Source organism: Homo sapiens, chromosome X, assembly GCF_000001405.40.
Source record: "Homo sapiens chromosome X, GRCh38.p14 Primary Assembly".
Lineage (NCBI taxonomy): Eukaryota > Metazoa > Chordata > Mammalia > Primates > Hominidae > Homo > Homo sapiens.
This window is the reverse complement of record NC_000023.11, coordinates 101213787-101227538: the sequence shown is the minus strand read 5'-3', so window position 1 is coordinate 101227538 and position 13752 is coordinate 101213787. Positions and strand designations below refer to the sequence as shown.

At 41.9% G+C, this 13752-nt stretch overlaps 1 protein-coding gene across 4 annotated transcripts in view; it reads right to left on the bottom strand.

The window, feature by feature from the left end:
* DRP2 (dystrophin related protein 2) overlaps positions 1-7753 on the bottom strand; it is a 44717-nt gene extending 36964 nt beyond the window's left edge. For 2 of the 4 annotated variants that reach the window (NM_001939.3, XM_017029333.2), the window contains exons 1-2: positions 7393-7753; positions 2833-2935 (exon numbers count right to left, since the gene is read on the bottom strand). The gene's annotated coding sequence lies outside the window, so the exon portion shown is untranslated. The remainder of the gene's footprint in view (positions 1-2832; positions 2936-7392) is intronic. The other 2 variants (XM_047441894.1, NM_001171184.2) reach the window with 1 other exon arrangement.

Sequence of the window (13752 nt, the reverse complement as noted above, 5' to 3'; positions counted from 1 at the left end):
CAGTCAGAATTAAGATCCCACTTTACAGATGAAGATGCTGAGACACAAGTGAACCAGGGCCTCCTGATTCCTGGGCGAGTACTCTTTGTTATACACAAAGATTCTTCTGCCTCTATCTAGCTCCATCCTATCTCAAATCACCATCTGCACATACTGATTTTTTTCCTATTCCTCTTTTTAATTTGCAAAGGCTATGAGAGATTGAAGATGAATCAGACTTGGTCCCCAACTGGTCAAATGTAGGAAACAAGACATATAAACAAACAAAAAAAAGGATAATTTTAGCGGGGAAAATTATTCATACCATACGTGGGTGCTGTGGTTTGAATATCTGTCCCCAATGTGACAGTATTGAGAGCTGGAGCCTTTAAGAGGTGATGAGGGCTTTGCCCTCATGAATGGATTAATCCACTCATGGATTAATGAATTAATAAGTTATCACGGGAGGAGAATTCATGGCTTTATAAAAAGAGGAAGAGATATCTGAACTAGCACACTAAGCCCTCTAGCCATGTGATACTCCGTGCCATCTTGGGATGCTTCAGAGAGTTTATGACAGCAAGAAGACTCTCACCAGATGCAGCCCCTCAAACTTGGACTTCTCAGCTTCCATAACTGTAAGAAATAAATTCCTTTTCTTATAAATTACTCAGTTTCAGGTATTCTGTTATAAGCAACAGAAAATGGACTGAGACAGCAAGACACAGAAATTATGGTATAAGAGGTCACAGAGGAGGAAGTGTTCACTTCTAGTTGGAGGGATTTGGGATGTATTTATGGAAAAGAAGCTTTCGAGCTAAGGTGAAAGAGAAGATTTTGACATATGCAGGTGTGGAGGATGCTTTTTGGGTGGCAATAAGCCTTCCCTGCCCTCCCCTAGGGACCCTGCTGGATACCAAACTGTGGCTTTTTGCTACTACAAATACTCTTCCTGGTTCTAAAAGCCATACACAGGCTGTTTGAGGAGGATTCAGTGGGAAGGCATTGTTTCTCTTGAGCAGAGATAAAAAGCTTTAAAAACACAGGGGAGATATTAGGATTTCAGCATGAAAGCAAGATTGTTGGCTCATGGGGGACAAAACCCACACCTGATATTTATTTATATCCCACATATTTTTAACACAGTGCTAGGCACCCATAAACTGGAGATGTATAGGAACATATGCTACTTAAATTTGTGTGGAATAATGTACAATGTTAGCATTTGAAACAAGTACAATAATAAGTACAATGTCAGCATTTGAAACAAGGCTTGAAATGGCAAAAAAAATTGCAAAAACTTAAACGTCTATCACTAGGGGACTAATTAAATAATGGTGTATCCATACAATGGAATTCTATACAGCTACTTAAAAAATAATTAAGAACTCTTTATATGCCAATACAAAATGATCTCTTATGATATACCTTAAGTAAAAAGAAAACAAGAGAAAAATCAAGGTGGTGGTTAGTCTACATTTGTATACTAAAAATATGTGCTTATAGATGCAAAAAAATATCTTTGGAAGTATACAAAAGAGCCTGTTACCATTGGAGAAGGGAACTGAGCAGTAAAAATTCTCCCCATGTCTTTGGGATTTCTACTATTTCTGCCCTTTTCAAAATGAGAAATATACCTATAAAAGTACATAAAGCATATATGTAAAGTATATTAAATTATTATAAAGTAAATTCATATAATCACTTCTCAGGTTGAGAAACAGAATTATTCCCCACACCACATAAGCCCCATGTTGCCAATAGGAGATAAAATTTTTTACTAAATATCATTTTGTACTTTTTGAATTTTGACCCATGTGAACACATTACCTATTTAATAACAGCTAATTCTTCGCCCCCTCTCCGCTCCCCACCAAAATACAAGGAGGTCAACAACTATTTTATGGAAAGATTGGTGTGCCAGCTTTTCCATAATCAAATAAATAATAACTGTATTCTGTGTTTTATATATATTAACTAAGCAGTCTACATACATTAACTCATTTAATCCTTACAACAACCCTATAAAGTAGTTACTATTGCTATCCTCATTGTGTGGATGAGAAAATGGGGGCACAGAGATGGTAAGTAACTTGTTCAGAGTCATATTGTGAATACATCGTGAAGAGCTGGGATTTGTACCCAGGCAGTTGTGTCTCAGAATACAAGTTATTTATCATTATGCTATTCTGCCTCTGTAAATTCTAGAACCCAGGCTCTGAGGCATTGTAATCACTGATACCTGGAAAGTGTATCCATACAATGGATACAATGGAGACAATTTTTGGCTATAGACCACCAGGTGCGAGCCCAAGCATTGACTCAGTTATGCCACTACCCAGGCAAAGACACAAGCAATTAAAAACAGATAAGATGCAGTGAGTCTAATGGGGCAGCACCAGGCTGGCAAATCATGAAAAGCACTTAAGTGACCTTTATAGGACATCTGAGAAGTGAAATTCTGGTCAAGTCTCCTATTTTAAGCTCAGAGCCTCCCCAATGCCTAGAGCTCAATAAATTTTTTTTTCAATAAATAAGCTCTTTCCACCTAGAAACCAGAGAAATCTAAGAGCCTATGTTACAAAAAGACCTCCAGAAGTGGACAAAGATGTTTGCTGCAGTATTGTTTGCAATAGCAAAAATCTGCATTCACTCAAATGTCCACCAGCGGGGGACTGGTGAGTAGACTATGTCTGAGACATATCACAGCATTATTGTCTGGGACATAGGCTCTGAACCAGGATGCTCTGGCTTGCACCTTGGCCACTTATCGGCACATATATGGACAAGCTCCCCAACCTTACTGTGCTCCAGTCCCCACATCTGTGAAACAGGGATAACAAAAAGACCTACCTCTTAGCTTTGTTGAGAGGAGTTAATTCATAGTTTCTGGCATTTAGTAGATATTCAAATGTTATCTATTACGATAGCCACTCACACGGCGAATATTATGTAGCTGTTAAAAAGAAAGAGGTAGATCTATATGCACTGATTTGGACAGATTTCAAAGTTATATATTTTAGGCCAAAGAAAACAAATGCCAGAATAGCATGCTTAGTGGAACTCCAATTTTGTAAAAACATTTTTAAAAAATCTACTGTGCGCATGCGCAGAAAGGAAGCCTGGACATCCGGGTTTTTTGGGCTTTTTTTTGTTTTTTTTTTTGAGACGGAGTCTCGCTCTGTCGCCCAGGCTGGAGTGCAGCTGGAGTGCAGTGGCATGATCTCGGCTCACTGCAACCTCCGCCTCCTGGGTTCAAGTGATTATCTTGCCTCAGCCTCCCAGCCGAGATTGTGCCACTGCACTCTAGCCTGGGTGACATAGCGAGACTCCATCTCAAAAAAAAAAAAAAAAAAAAAAAAAAAAAACAAAAAAAACCCAGCAAACATTTATTATTCTTGGGAGAAAAAATTCAAGAGATAGGGAAGACTTCTAAGATGTAGAGGTTCTGTAAAGAACAGGGCAATGGGAAGGCGACCCCCTTCCCATGGGCTACAGAATCCTCTCCCCAATCCAAGGTAACACTGTGTAACTGCCTTTTCTCTCATACCACTGGCTTTCTACCTGACAGCATGGCAGTAAGAGAGAAGATACACATTTCACTGGTAACAAACTTTGTTATAGTTCCTAAAATAATTCCTGCAATGCACCCAAAAAACCAAGGTTCTGCTTCAGATGTACCTGATTTAATGAATAAATCATAGAAACTCAGATTTTCAAGCTAGAAAGGACCTTTGAGATCATCTAGGCCAATCCCCTCATTTACAAATGAAAACAAGGAAACGTATTCCTGAGAAGTTTAGCTGTCAAGCAATTTTGAGAAATAAAATTTATTATCCAATTAAAAAATCAGAGATGCATCCCCATGGGAGAAAACTCTAAGAGCCAATTAATGCAATAAACCTGAAACCTTTATACACTGATGGTGGGAGTGTAAGTTAGTAAACTATTTTGCACAGTGATTTGACAATATCTCCCAAAGGTGACAATGCACATACCCTGTAAGGGGACAATTCCACCCAGATATTTACCCAGTAGAAATTGTCACCTAAGAATAGCTACACAAGAATGATCACAGTACCTCTGTGATTGCTCAAAACTAGAAATAGCCTAAATGTCCATCAACAGCAGAATAGATAAAGTGTGGTATAGTCATTACAGGAGTATACAATAGTGAAAAAAATGAGTAAACTAGAGACCCGTGTTACAACATGGATGCTTTTCACAAATATAACATTGAATAGAAAAAATAAGTTTCAAGGCAGGTGCAGTGGCTCATGGCTGTAATCCCAACACTTTGGGAGGCTGAGGCAGGAGGACTACATGAGGCCAGGAGTTTGAGATCAGCCTGGACAACATAGCAGGACCCTGTCTCTATGAAGGAAAAAAAATTAGCTGGGCATGGTGGTGCCACCTGGGGGGTGGTGAGGCTGGAGGATTGCTCCAGCCCAGGAGCTCGAGACTGCAGTGAGCTATGATCACACCACTTCACTTCAGCCTGGATAACAGTGCAAGATCTCGTCTCTTGGCGGGGAGAAAAAAGAAAAGAGAAATCACGTTGCAGAAGAATACGTATGATACACCACTGATACAAACTTTTAAAACATATAAAGCAGTAGTATATGTTGTTTAAAAATATATACATGTGTAGTAAAAGTATATAAATCAATGCATGGGAATAATAAACACCAAATCCAGGATAGTGGTTACTTTGGAAGGAAAGAGAGAACTTTAATCATGGAGAATAGACAGAAGGTTTCAACTCTACTGGTAATGTTTCTTTATTAAGCTGGGCAGTGAATAACCTGATTTTCACCATATTATTTTTATACCTTTTTGAATGAACAAAGATATTTCATAACACATTGTTTAAAAGAATGCAACAAAGCCCATGCTGAAAAGAAAGTTGACAATTTTTGCATATAGCAAAATACTAGAAGAAATGTATTAAATGTAAATATTGCACTCAAAATTTAAGGATTATTCCTTAAATCTGCTTCATTTTCCTGGAACTAGTTTCACAGGAGGGGACCTGCTAGAGAAGCAGCAGTTGGGTACAGTGGGCTGGGGAATCAGGAGATAATCCCAGATTCTCATCAGCTATGGGAAGGAAAACAATATGATTAACCTCTTGGGTTTTTCATGTTTAGAAATGCATTGTTGGACTAGATTATTTTACAAGTGTTATCCATGTGACGATTTCTTCCAGTTTTTTATTTTTTTATTTTTTATTTTATTATTTTTTTTTAGCAGCAGTTCCCCAAACTGTATCTGCAAGAGGCAAAAAGTGTTTTCCATACAGAAAAGTGTTCCCTGGTCAAACCAGTCTGGGATGTACTGGGTTAAACAAAATTAAACATTCATTTACAGCAGTACTTCTCAGAGTCTTTAATATGCGTTACATACACTGTGACTCTCCAAAATGAGAATTCGGTTAAGAAGCATTTCCAAAAAAGTATTGAACTGCAGAATACACACACATGCATGCACACACACACACACCCCCAACACTTATTTTAAAACAGAATCTATTAACATTCTCTCAGGATGGGGCTCTATAGAACATTGGTTTGGTAAATGCTATCCTAGAAGGATTTATCTCACTTGCTATTTTTGTTGCTGATGCATGTTTAGAATCCTTCATAAGGGAGGAATGTCATTTCATAGTATAATTTCCACTGAATGGGTTTCCTCTGAGTGTGTATCCCTGAGAAGTTTAGAAGACTATCTTCTTGGCCTTCATTAGTGAGACCCCATCCTAGCTGGCATGGTGGCAGATCCAACATCAGAAACTTCTGAGCATCCATAGTTAGAAGGGCTGAATCGCAGATGTGCTCTCCGCATCTGGCTCAGGGCCTTTGCTAAATTCATTGCTTCAAGCTATGCTCCCCTCCTTTATGGTGGACTTGAAGGGTAATCTGACCTGGAGCACAGAGCTACTTAGCTGAGGCTGAATGCCTAGAAGTACAAATCTCACAGGAAGAGGAGTTCTTTCCATGTGCCTTCATCCCCCAGCAATGGTTTACAGAAAGCAAGACTACAGGACAGAGGCCTGCCAACCCAGAGACAGAGGGGCTTGGTCTTCTTTCAGAAACAGGACACAACACTGCCACTTCCAACACTGCCTTTTCACGGAGGTTTCCTTAGAAGGCCCTGAGATTCTCTGGGATCATCTCCCCACGCAAACCTTAGAAGGAAAATCACCTGAGGCTTGTGGTTCCCACAGGCCTTTTAAAAGGTGATTTACCTGAGGGCCTTTCATCTAGAAACAAGGATTCTTTGGAAAAGTCAGGAATTAAGATGAACTAGACATAGAGCTTTTTTAAGGCTTTTGTTCTTTTGACAATCAAAAAGAAAACATTTTTAAAAAGTATGTTCTTTTCCAGACAGCATGCACCATGCTTTCAACGGAAGCAGGCAGCAGCTGCTGCTGACGTTCTCCTCTACCCCACTCCACCCCACCCCAGCCCAGCCTTGCCACCTGCTTAGACCCAACACCTGTGAGGCCTGGCTCGACCTGCCTACCAAAGGAAGGATAAACATTAACTACCCATATAGTCTCAGGCCCACTTACTAGGCTGGGGCACTTGGTCCGATGCTGGGAAAGGTGGTGAGAGCAGAAGGTGATAGGGTGTTGGACTCCAAGAGAAGCAAGCCCTATTTGAAACCACTCCAAGCTATGCTTTCAAGAGTGGAAAGATGCCTCCTGATTACAGGGTGTAGAAAGGAAACCAGGGGAGAAGATAAGGGGGAAAAATGTCACAGGAAAAACAACAGAGCCAGGAAGTAAATACAGAGATGAGATGAGCCCTTCAGCTCCAGGCTCTTAGGTCAGAGCCTGGTTTACTTCAGCAAAGAACTCCTGTGTCCTGTCTGCTGGCCAGAATACTCATTTGTTCAGGGAACCTGCTCCAAGGTCCCATGTTTCCTCTCTCCTCCCTTGTTAGCCAAGGCTTTCCACACACCTTTGCTTCCCTCCTGCCAAGAAGTATACCCTTGGACAAAAAGCATGCTATTGAGAACCTAAAATAAATAAATGCCCCTCTTTTCTCAAAGAAGCAAACTGTGTACCTCCTTCTTATTCATTTTTAGACCTTAGTTGCTCAAATCGGCTTGAGTTTCTATTCTTGGGCATCTTTTTTTTTTTCTTTATGAATCTAAATGGTGACTACTTTATTGTGGGCATTTTTAAATGCAAGTTTTCCACTAAAGGCACATGCAAGCAGACCGCAGGCAGGCACGCGTACACACACACACACACACACACACACACGCACACACACACTCATTTTCCCTCTCTCCCCCCACCCCTCGCCCGCCACACAGTACCTCTGGAGCTTCCCCTCCCTCAGTCATTTCCCCTCAGCCAGCTGAACAAGGCCAAGGCTTGGAAATAATTTTTCTGTGGCCTACCTTCTGATTCCGTCAGGTCTGAGAAGCAGGCGGCAGCTGTAAGCTGGGAGGCCGGGGCTGGGCTGCCTCTGTGAATCAGCAAAGAAGTCCCTGAGACAGGGATGCCGACAGCTGCTGTATGCACACTCTCCCTCTGTCTCTCCCACTTCCCTGTCTTCCTTCTTCTCCTCCTCCTCCCCTCTCAGAGCTGCTCTGTGTTGCTATGCAATCATATCACCAGGACTAACAGCATCATTCCGACCTCAGGCAAAAATACCCTTGACTGGGCAAACGCAGGAAGAGCAAGGACAGTTTTGTAAAACTACCAGAGATGTGGCGGCTCTTGGAGATGTCAATTCATTAGAAGCAGAGGAGGAAAGCGGAAGAGCCTGAGAAGCAGAGGGGGAGAGAAGGAGACAAGGAGAGGGGGAAGAGGGAGAGAGGGGGAGAGGGGGAGAGGGGAAGAGGGGGAGAGGCTTCCACTGGGGAGGAGGAGACAAAAGAGCCCTGGAGATCAATCAGGCTGCTGAGCGAGCAGCCTGGACCCCAACTTACACCGATCTAGCCCACAGACAAAACCAACTTTGGAGCCAGCAGCTGGCAGGGGCCCCTCGGTAGCCAGTCCAGGATTCTGCTTCTGTGTTGAGGGTTGAAACACTGTGGTCTGGAATCATCACTGGTACTCAAGGTACAGTTTTGGGCTCAGGACAGTCTGCCAGTCACCCCTAAGTCTCATCCTCACACCCTCTTAGATCTCACGTGTAGAAAAAGCCTCAACAAATTGGGGAAACAAAATGGATCTTGAATAATTCAGGAAAATACAGCTCCTCCATGACTCACCTCAATGACTACTACCCCAGGCACCTTCCTGCTTTTGTCCATACCAGCCCTTACTCTTTTAACTGTCACGCTTGTTAAAGAGAAGAGGGTATGAGCTCCAAACACCCTCAGAGACCTGGGAGAAGCCACTGGCAGGATAGATAAGATTATATCCCTTTACCAAGTGCCCAGCACACAGTAGGTTACTTAATAAATATATGTTGAATGAGTAAATTGAATGAATAGGTGGATGAATAGCAGTCAGAAAGTCCCCATCCTCACCCTCCTACACAAACATACAAAGATTTAAAGCCCCAGCAGTCCCAGGCCACAGCAAAGGATAAAAGCAGCTTTCTTCTTTCCTCCCTCCATCTCTGGGAACAGGGTGTATATGGAGAGAGACAAAGACTGGTTGGGAGTGGGTTGCTTAAGTTCACTGATTTGCCTCTAAAAATTTTATAAGCTCTGATGGCACTGGAACTTAGAAAATACTTCCTAGGGTCGGGCGTGGTGGCTCACGCCTATATAATCCCACACTTTGGGAGGCCGAGGCAGGCGGATCACAAGGTCAGGAGTTCGAGACAAGCCTGACCAACATGGTAAAACCCCCGTCTCTACCAAAAAAATACAAAAATTAGCTGGGCGTGGTGGTGTGCGCCTGTAATCCCATCTACTCAGGAGGCTGAGGCAGGAGAATCACTTGAACCTGGGAGGTGGAGGTTGCAGTGAGCCAAGATCGCACCACTGCACCCAACCTGGGTAACAGAGCAAGACTCTGTCTCAAAAAAAAGAAAAAAAGAAAGAAAGAAAGAAAGAAAATACTTCCTAGGACTAGTATTTACATAGGATCTAGGACTAGTATTTACATAGGATCTAGGACTAGTGTTTACAAAGTGTCTAAAGGACCCAGAATTACTGTTTTTTTTCAGTTCCATTTTAAAATTATTATGTGATTTTTTTATGAAGTATTTTTATTATTTATTTTTAATTGACAAATAATAATTGTATATATTTATGGGCTCCAGCGTGATGTTTTGATCTATGTATACTATGCAGAAAAATTCAGCCCAGCCAATTAACATATTCATCATCCCACCAACTTATCATTTTTTTTGTAGCAAGAACATTAGAAATCTATTATTTTAGCAATTTTGATACATATAATACATCATTAATAACTGTGGTCATCATGATGATCATTACTATTATTGAAAACCTTCAGCTAGAAAATAGTGTGTATATATATCTTTTCTTTTGAGGTGAAATTTTAAAAACTTAAGTTGCTAGCTTCAGCAAAAGGCTAGAAATATGGCCTGATCTCCTCTTCAAAATAAGCGACATAGGAACCAATTGCCCCTGTCATCAAGCTTTCAGAGCTGTGTAAGTAGCCCTTCCTATCTGGTCCAAATAGCAATAGGCAGGCCCCCATGCAGGTGCAGAAAAGGCCTTTGATTTCTGAAGGGGCTTTTGAAAACACATCCGGCTTCTCAACCTACATATCCGCAACAGAACATTTCTCAGCTACCTAGCCTAGCCCAGGCCTGACCCTGTCTCGCCCTCCATCCTAGCCGTGGAAGCTTACAGGGTTTGTCAATACCATCCATCCAGAACCAGGGACCTCAGAGTCCTTTACAACTGACTTGGAATGAGTTGGAGCGGAGAGCTGGCTAGAAGAAAGACCAGAGGGAACATTGTGAGAAATAGTTTGGGAAGGCACACACAGAACAACTGTGACGGACATATACAAAACACATGGGAACCTGACTCACTACTCACCCTCGGCACCAGACTACCACATGCCCAACAAGAACATAGGCTAGGCTCAACTATTTTCGGAGGAGGCCAAAGAAAGATAAAAGTAGGTCGGGCCACAAGCTTTGACTTTAGTTTCACCTTGGTAACTGGCAGAAGGATGTTCAAGGCTCACCCTGGTATCACTGCACAGGACTTTGCTAGGGTATTTCAGATAGGGAGAAAGCATGTATAAAAGCACAAAGGTTAGAGCACACAGCCTGCTGAGGAACTGCATGTCCTAGTTAAGTATGGTTAACTTAAGACGGGGATATGGGTGGGAAAGGGGAGAAGGTGGCAGGAGATGAAGCTATGGAAGCACATGGGATCAGCCCATGGGGGCACTGGAGTACCATGCTAAGGATCATTTAAAATGTTGAAGCAGGCAAGTGGCATGATCAGGTTTATGTTTTAGAAATATCGCTCCAGTGGTTTTCGTTCAAAGAACCATTACTGAGTGTCTACTACATTCCACATTCTGTGCTAGACCCCAGGGGCACAGAGAAGACTGGAAGACTGCCTTCAAGTTGCTCATAGCCTAATGGGTGAGACAGTTAATTAAAAACAAATACAATAGAGTGATAAGTGAAACGAAGGATGAATCTGAGGGGGGAAAGGCTGGAAGCCTGGGTGCCTGGTAGGAAGCAGTTGCAGTACTCATCTGATAAGGGCCTGAGGTAGAGCAGTTGGTAGTGAGGGTGGAAAAAACGGACAACTCGGTTTTATATTGGAAGAGTGGGCCTCGTCCCCAAATGGATCTTCTTCATACTGGCCTTTCCTTGTATTGATTCTTCCTAGTCTGCCTACTTGCTGCATTGCTAAAGGAGAAATAAACTGTATTTTTGTCCTTTGTGGGTGAGAGAGGTGGTATAGCTTATTCTCTCATTGCTGTTTTGCCATTCCGCAGCCTTATTTGCTGGTCCCTGACCATGTTTACCAAAACAACTACTTCTGTTCATGTCTACCAGCCACTCAACCCCGGCCACCTACCTCAGCAAATAACTTCCATTCTCTTGCTTTACTGAAAAGGTGGATGTTATCCCTGCAAACTTCTCTATCTCAGAATGTCTTCCAGTCTTTCCCTCCTACCGTCTCCAGACAAAATGAAATCACTTATTACCTCCCTAAGGTCAACGCCTCTTCCCATGACCTCAGGCCATTTTCTCTGTATCTCCTCCGGGAACTTCTTATACATTGTTCCTTCTCTTGCTTTCCTCTGCAATCTTTTGGTTGCCTCCCTTTCCCTGCTGTCGAAAAACATGCGAGGAGCAGGAAGTATGTTGACTCCGATGAGCTGGGAAGTGGGAAGAATGTTTCCCCACTATAGAAAGCCCCACCCCCTTGGGCCGGGCACAGTGGCTTACATCTGTAATCCCAGCACTTTGGTGGGCTGAGGCAGGAGGATTTCTTGAGCTCAGGAGTTTGAGACCAGCCTGGGCAATATAGTGAGACCTCGTCTCCAAATAAATAAAGTTTTTTAAAAAAGAAAGTCCCATCTCACGTACACACACACAACCAGTTTAAGACTATGTTATGGACAAACCGGAGAAAGTTTAGAGGGAAGCAGCATCATCAGGGCAAAGAATACCCATGTTTCAGTAAGGTTGCAAAGTAAAAAATATCCCTCAGAAAATGCAGAATAATAATAAATCTTTGCCAGCTATTATTTGCAGAATATCTTCTGCCATATTATTTGATTTACATAGCAGAGATTGCTTCCAACGAATTGAGGTTCCATGCAGAAAAACCAAAAGGGTTAGAAGAACAGATAGAGGCAAATGTCTCAGGACGAACAAGATTAATATGAATTCAGATGAGAGAATGAGTCAGAGAGTAGGAGGGAGGGATTTTCACCATGTATGATATAGATGCAGGAGGCTGGGAGATAAGTTGAAGGAACAGGTTAAGTTGGAGGAACAGGTTAAAAATGTAGGGGGCACAATGTCAAAAAGGCTGGAATTCGTCATTGGAGTTGATAAGGAATAATGCAAAGCCATAACAGACTAAGGGTTAAAGAATCAGTATTGTCCCAGTCAATGGTCTGAGCACTCTCTGTTGCTTTTGTTGAACATCTGAAAATGTGGAACTCATTTTACACACTTGGTTACCTCCCACCCTCTTCTGCTGTTCTTCAAGCTTCTGCTAAACCAGACCCAGCAGCTGGGATGTTATATAACATAACTTCTATTTATGTTTTCAAATATATTCCACTTAGGCCAAAACCATTCAAGCTACGGTTAAAGTGGTATAGTGGAAAGAATGTTGAATTAGGAGTCAAAAGACAAAGGTTCTAATCCCAATTTTGCTACGAAATTGTCACTGACATTTTTGAGCTTTGATTTTTCCTTCACCAGATAGGAGATAATAGCTGTCTGCCCTGTTTACTTCACTCATTTGGATTGAGACTCAAATGGGATAATGGATGTGAATATATATTGAAACTATAAAGTGTTATTCAAATGTAAGAGATTATTATTTCTATTGCTTCAAGGTCCTGGTGGTTTTCCTATATGCAAAGGACATACATCCTAGAGTAGACTATAACAGCTAAGGACGTCGTGCCAGGAATGTAATTAGCTCCCTGTTTCCATGCTAGATCAGATACTATATTTCTTTAAGTAGACACACCAACCACACAATTCAGGTTTATTCACTATCTTTCACATTATCAACCTTCCTATCCTCCTTTCAGCCCAGACTGCTAGACATATGCACATTCACTAGCAACCTTTCACATATGAGCTTCCAAGAAAACACACACAATTCAATAAGAACTACTGATTTTCGGCTGGGCACAGTGGCTCACGCCTGTAATCCCAGCACTTTGGGAGGCTGAGGTGGATCACCTGAGGTTGGGAGTTCAAGACCAGCCTGGCCAACATGGTGAAACTCCATCTCTATTGAAAACACAAAAATTAGCCAGGCATGGTGGCAGTTGCCTATAATCCCAGCTACTTGGGAGGCTGAGGCAGGAGAATCACTTAAACCCGGGAGGTGGAGGCTGCAGTGAGCCAAGACCACGCCATTTCACCCCAGCCTGGGCAAAAAGAGCAAAACTCCATCTCAAAAAAAAAAAAAAAAAAAGAAAAAGAAAAAGAAAACAACTACTGATTTTCTAGGCTAAAGAGAACTGCTATTGATTTGTACTTTCATTGTGTTTAGGATACTGAGGCAAGATGGTCACTCACTTCTTGCTTGTAACTTGGATTGAGAGGGGAAGGGAACTAACATTTTTGAGACTGTATTCTGTGCCAAGTAGTGTACCTATGTGCCAGTGTTACCTCCTGCAATGCTCACAATGATTCAGTGAGGTAAGGGTTATTATTTCCAACTTTACAGACAAGGAGACTACAGCTCAGAGATGTTAAAAGTAACTTGTCCAAATTCATAAAGCTAATAAAAAAATGCAAGCTGGGATTCAATCCCAAATCCACCTGACTCCAAAGCTGATACTCTTCCCACATCTCTCCTACTTTTAGGCAGGGCCACAGTATTACAAATAGGACACATCCTAGAACTTACCACTTCATAATTCTAGGTGCACTTGAAAGCACATATTGGCATATATGGGTGGCAAGCACCTTGACCACCAACTGGTAGAGACCCATTTCAGGGATGCCTTTAAACCCTGAAGTTGCTTCAGAATCTAAAGCAACCCTGGGCCTAAACAACAAGAGCTGTCTGTTTTATATCTAGTAGCAAGCTCTATCTGTCTCACAAAAGAAAGGCAGGTATTTATTTGCTTGGTAGAGGCAAAGTGACAATTTCAAG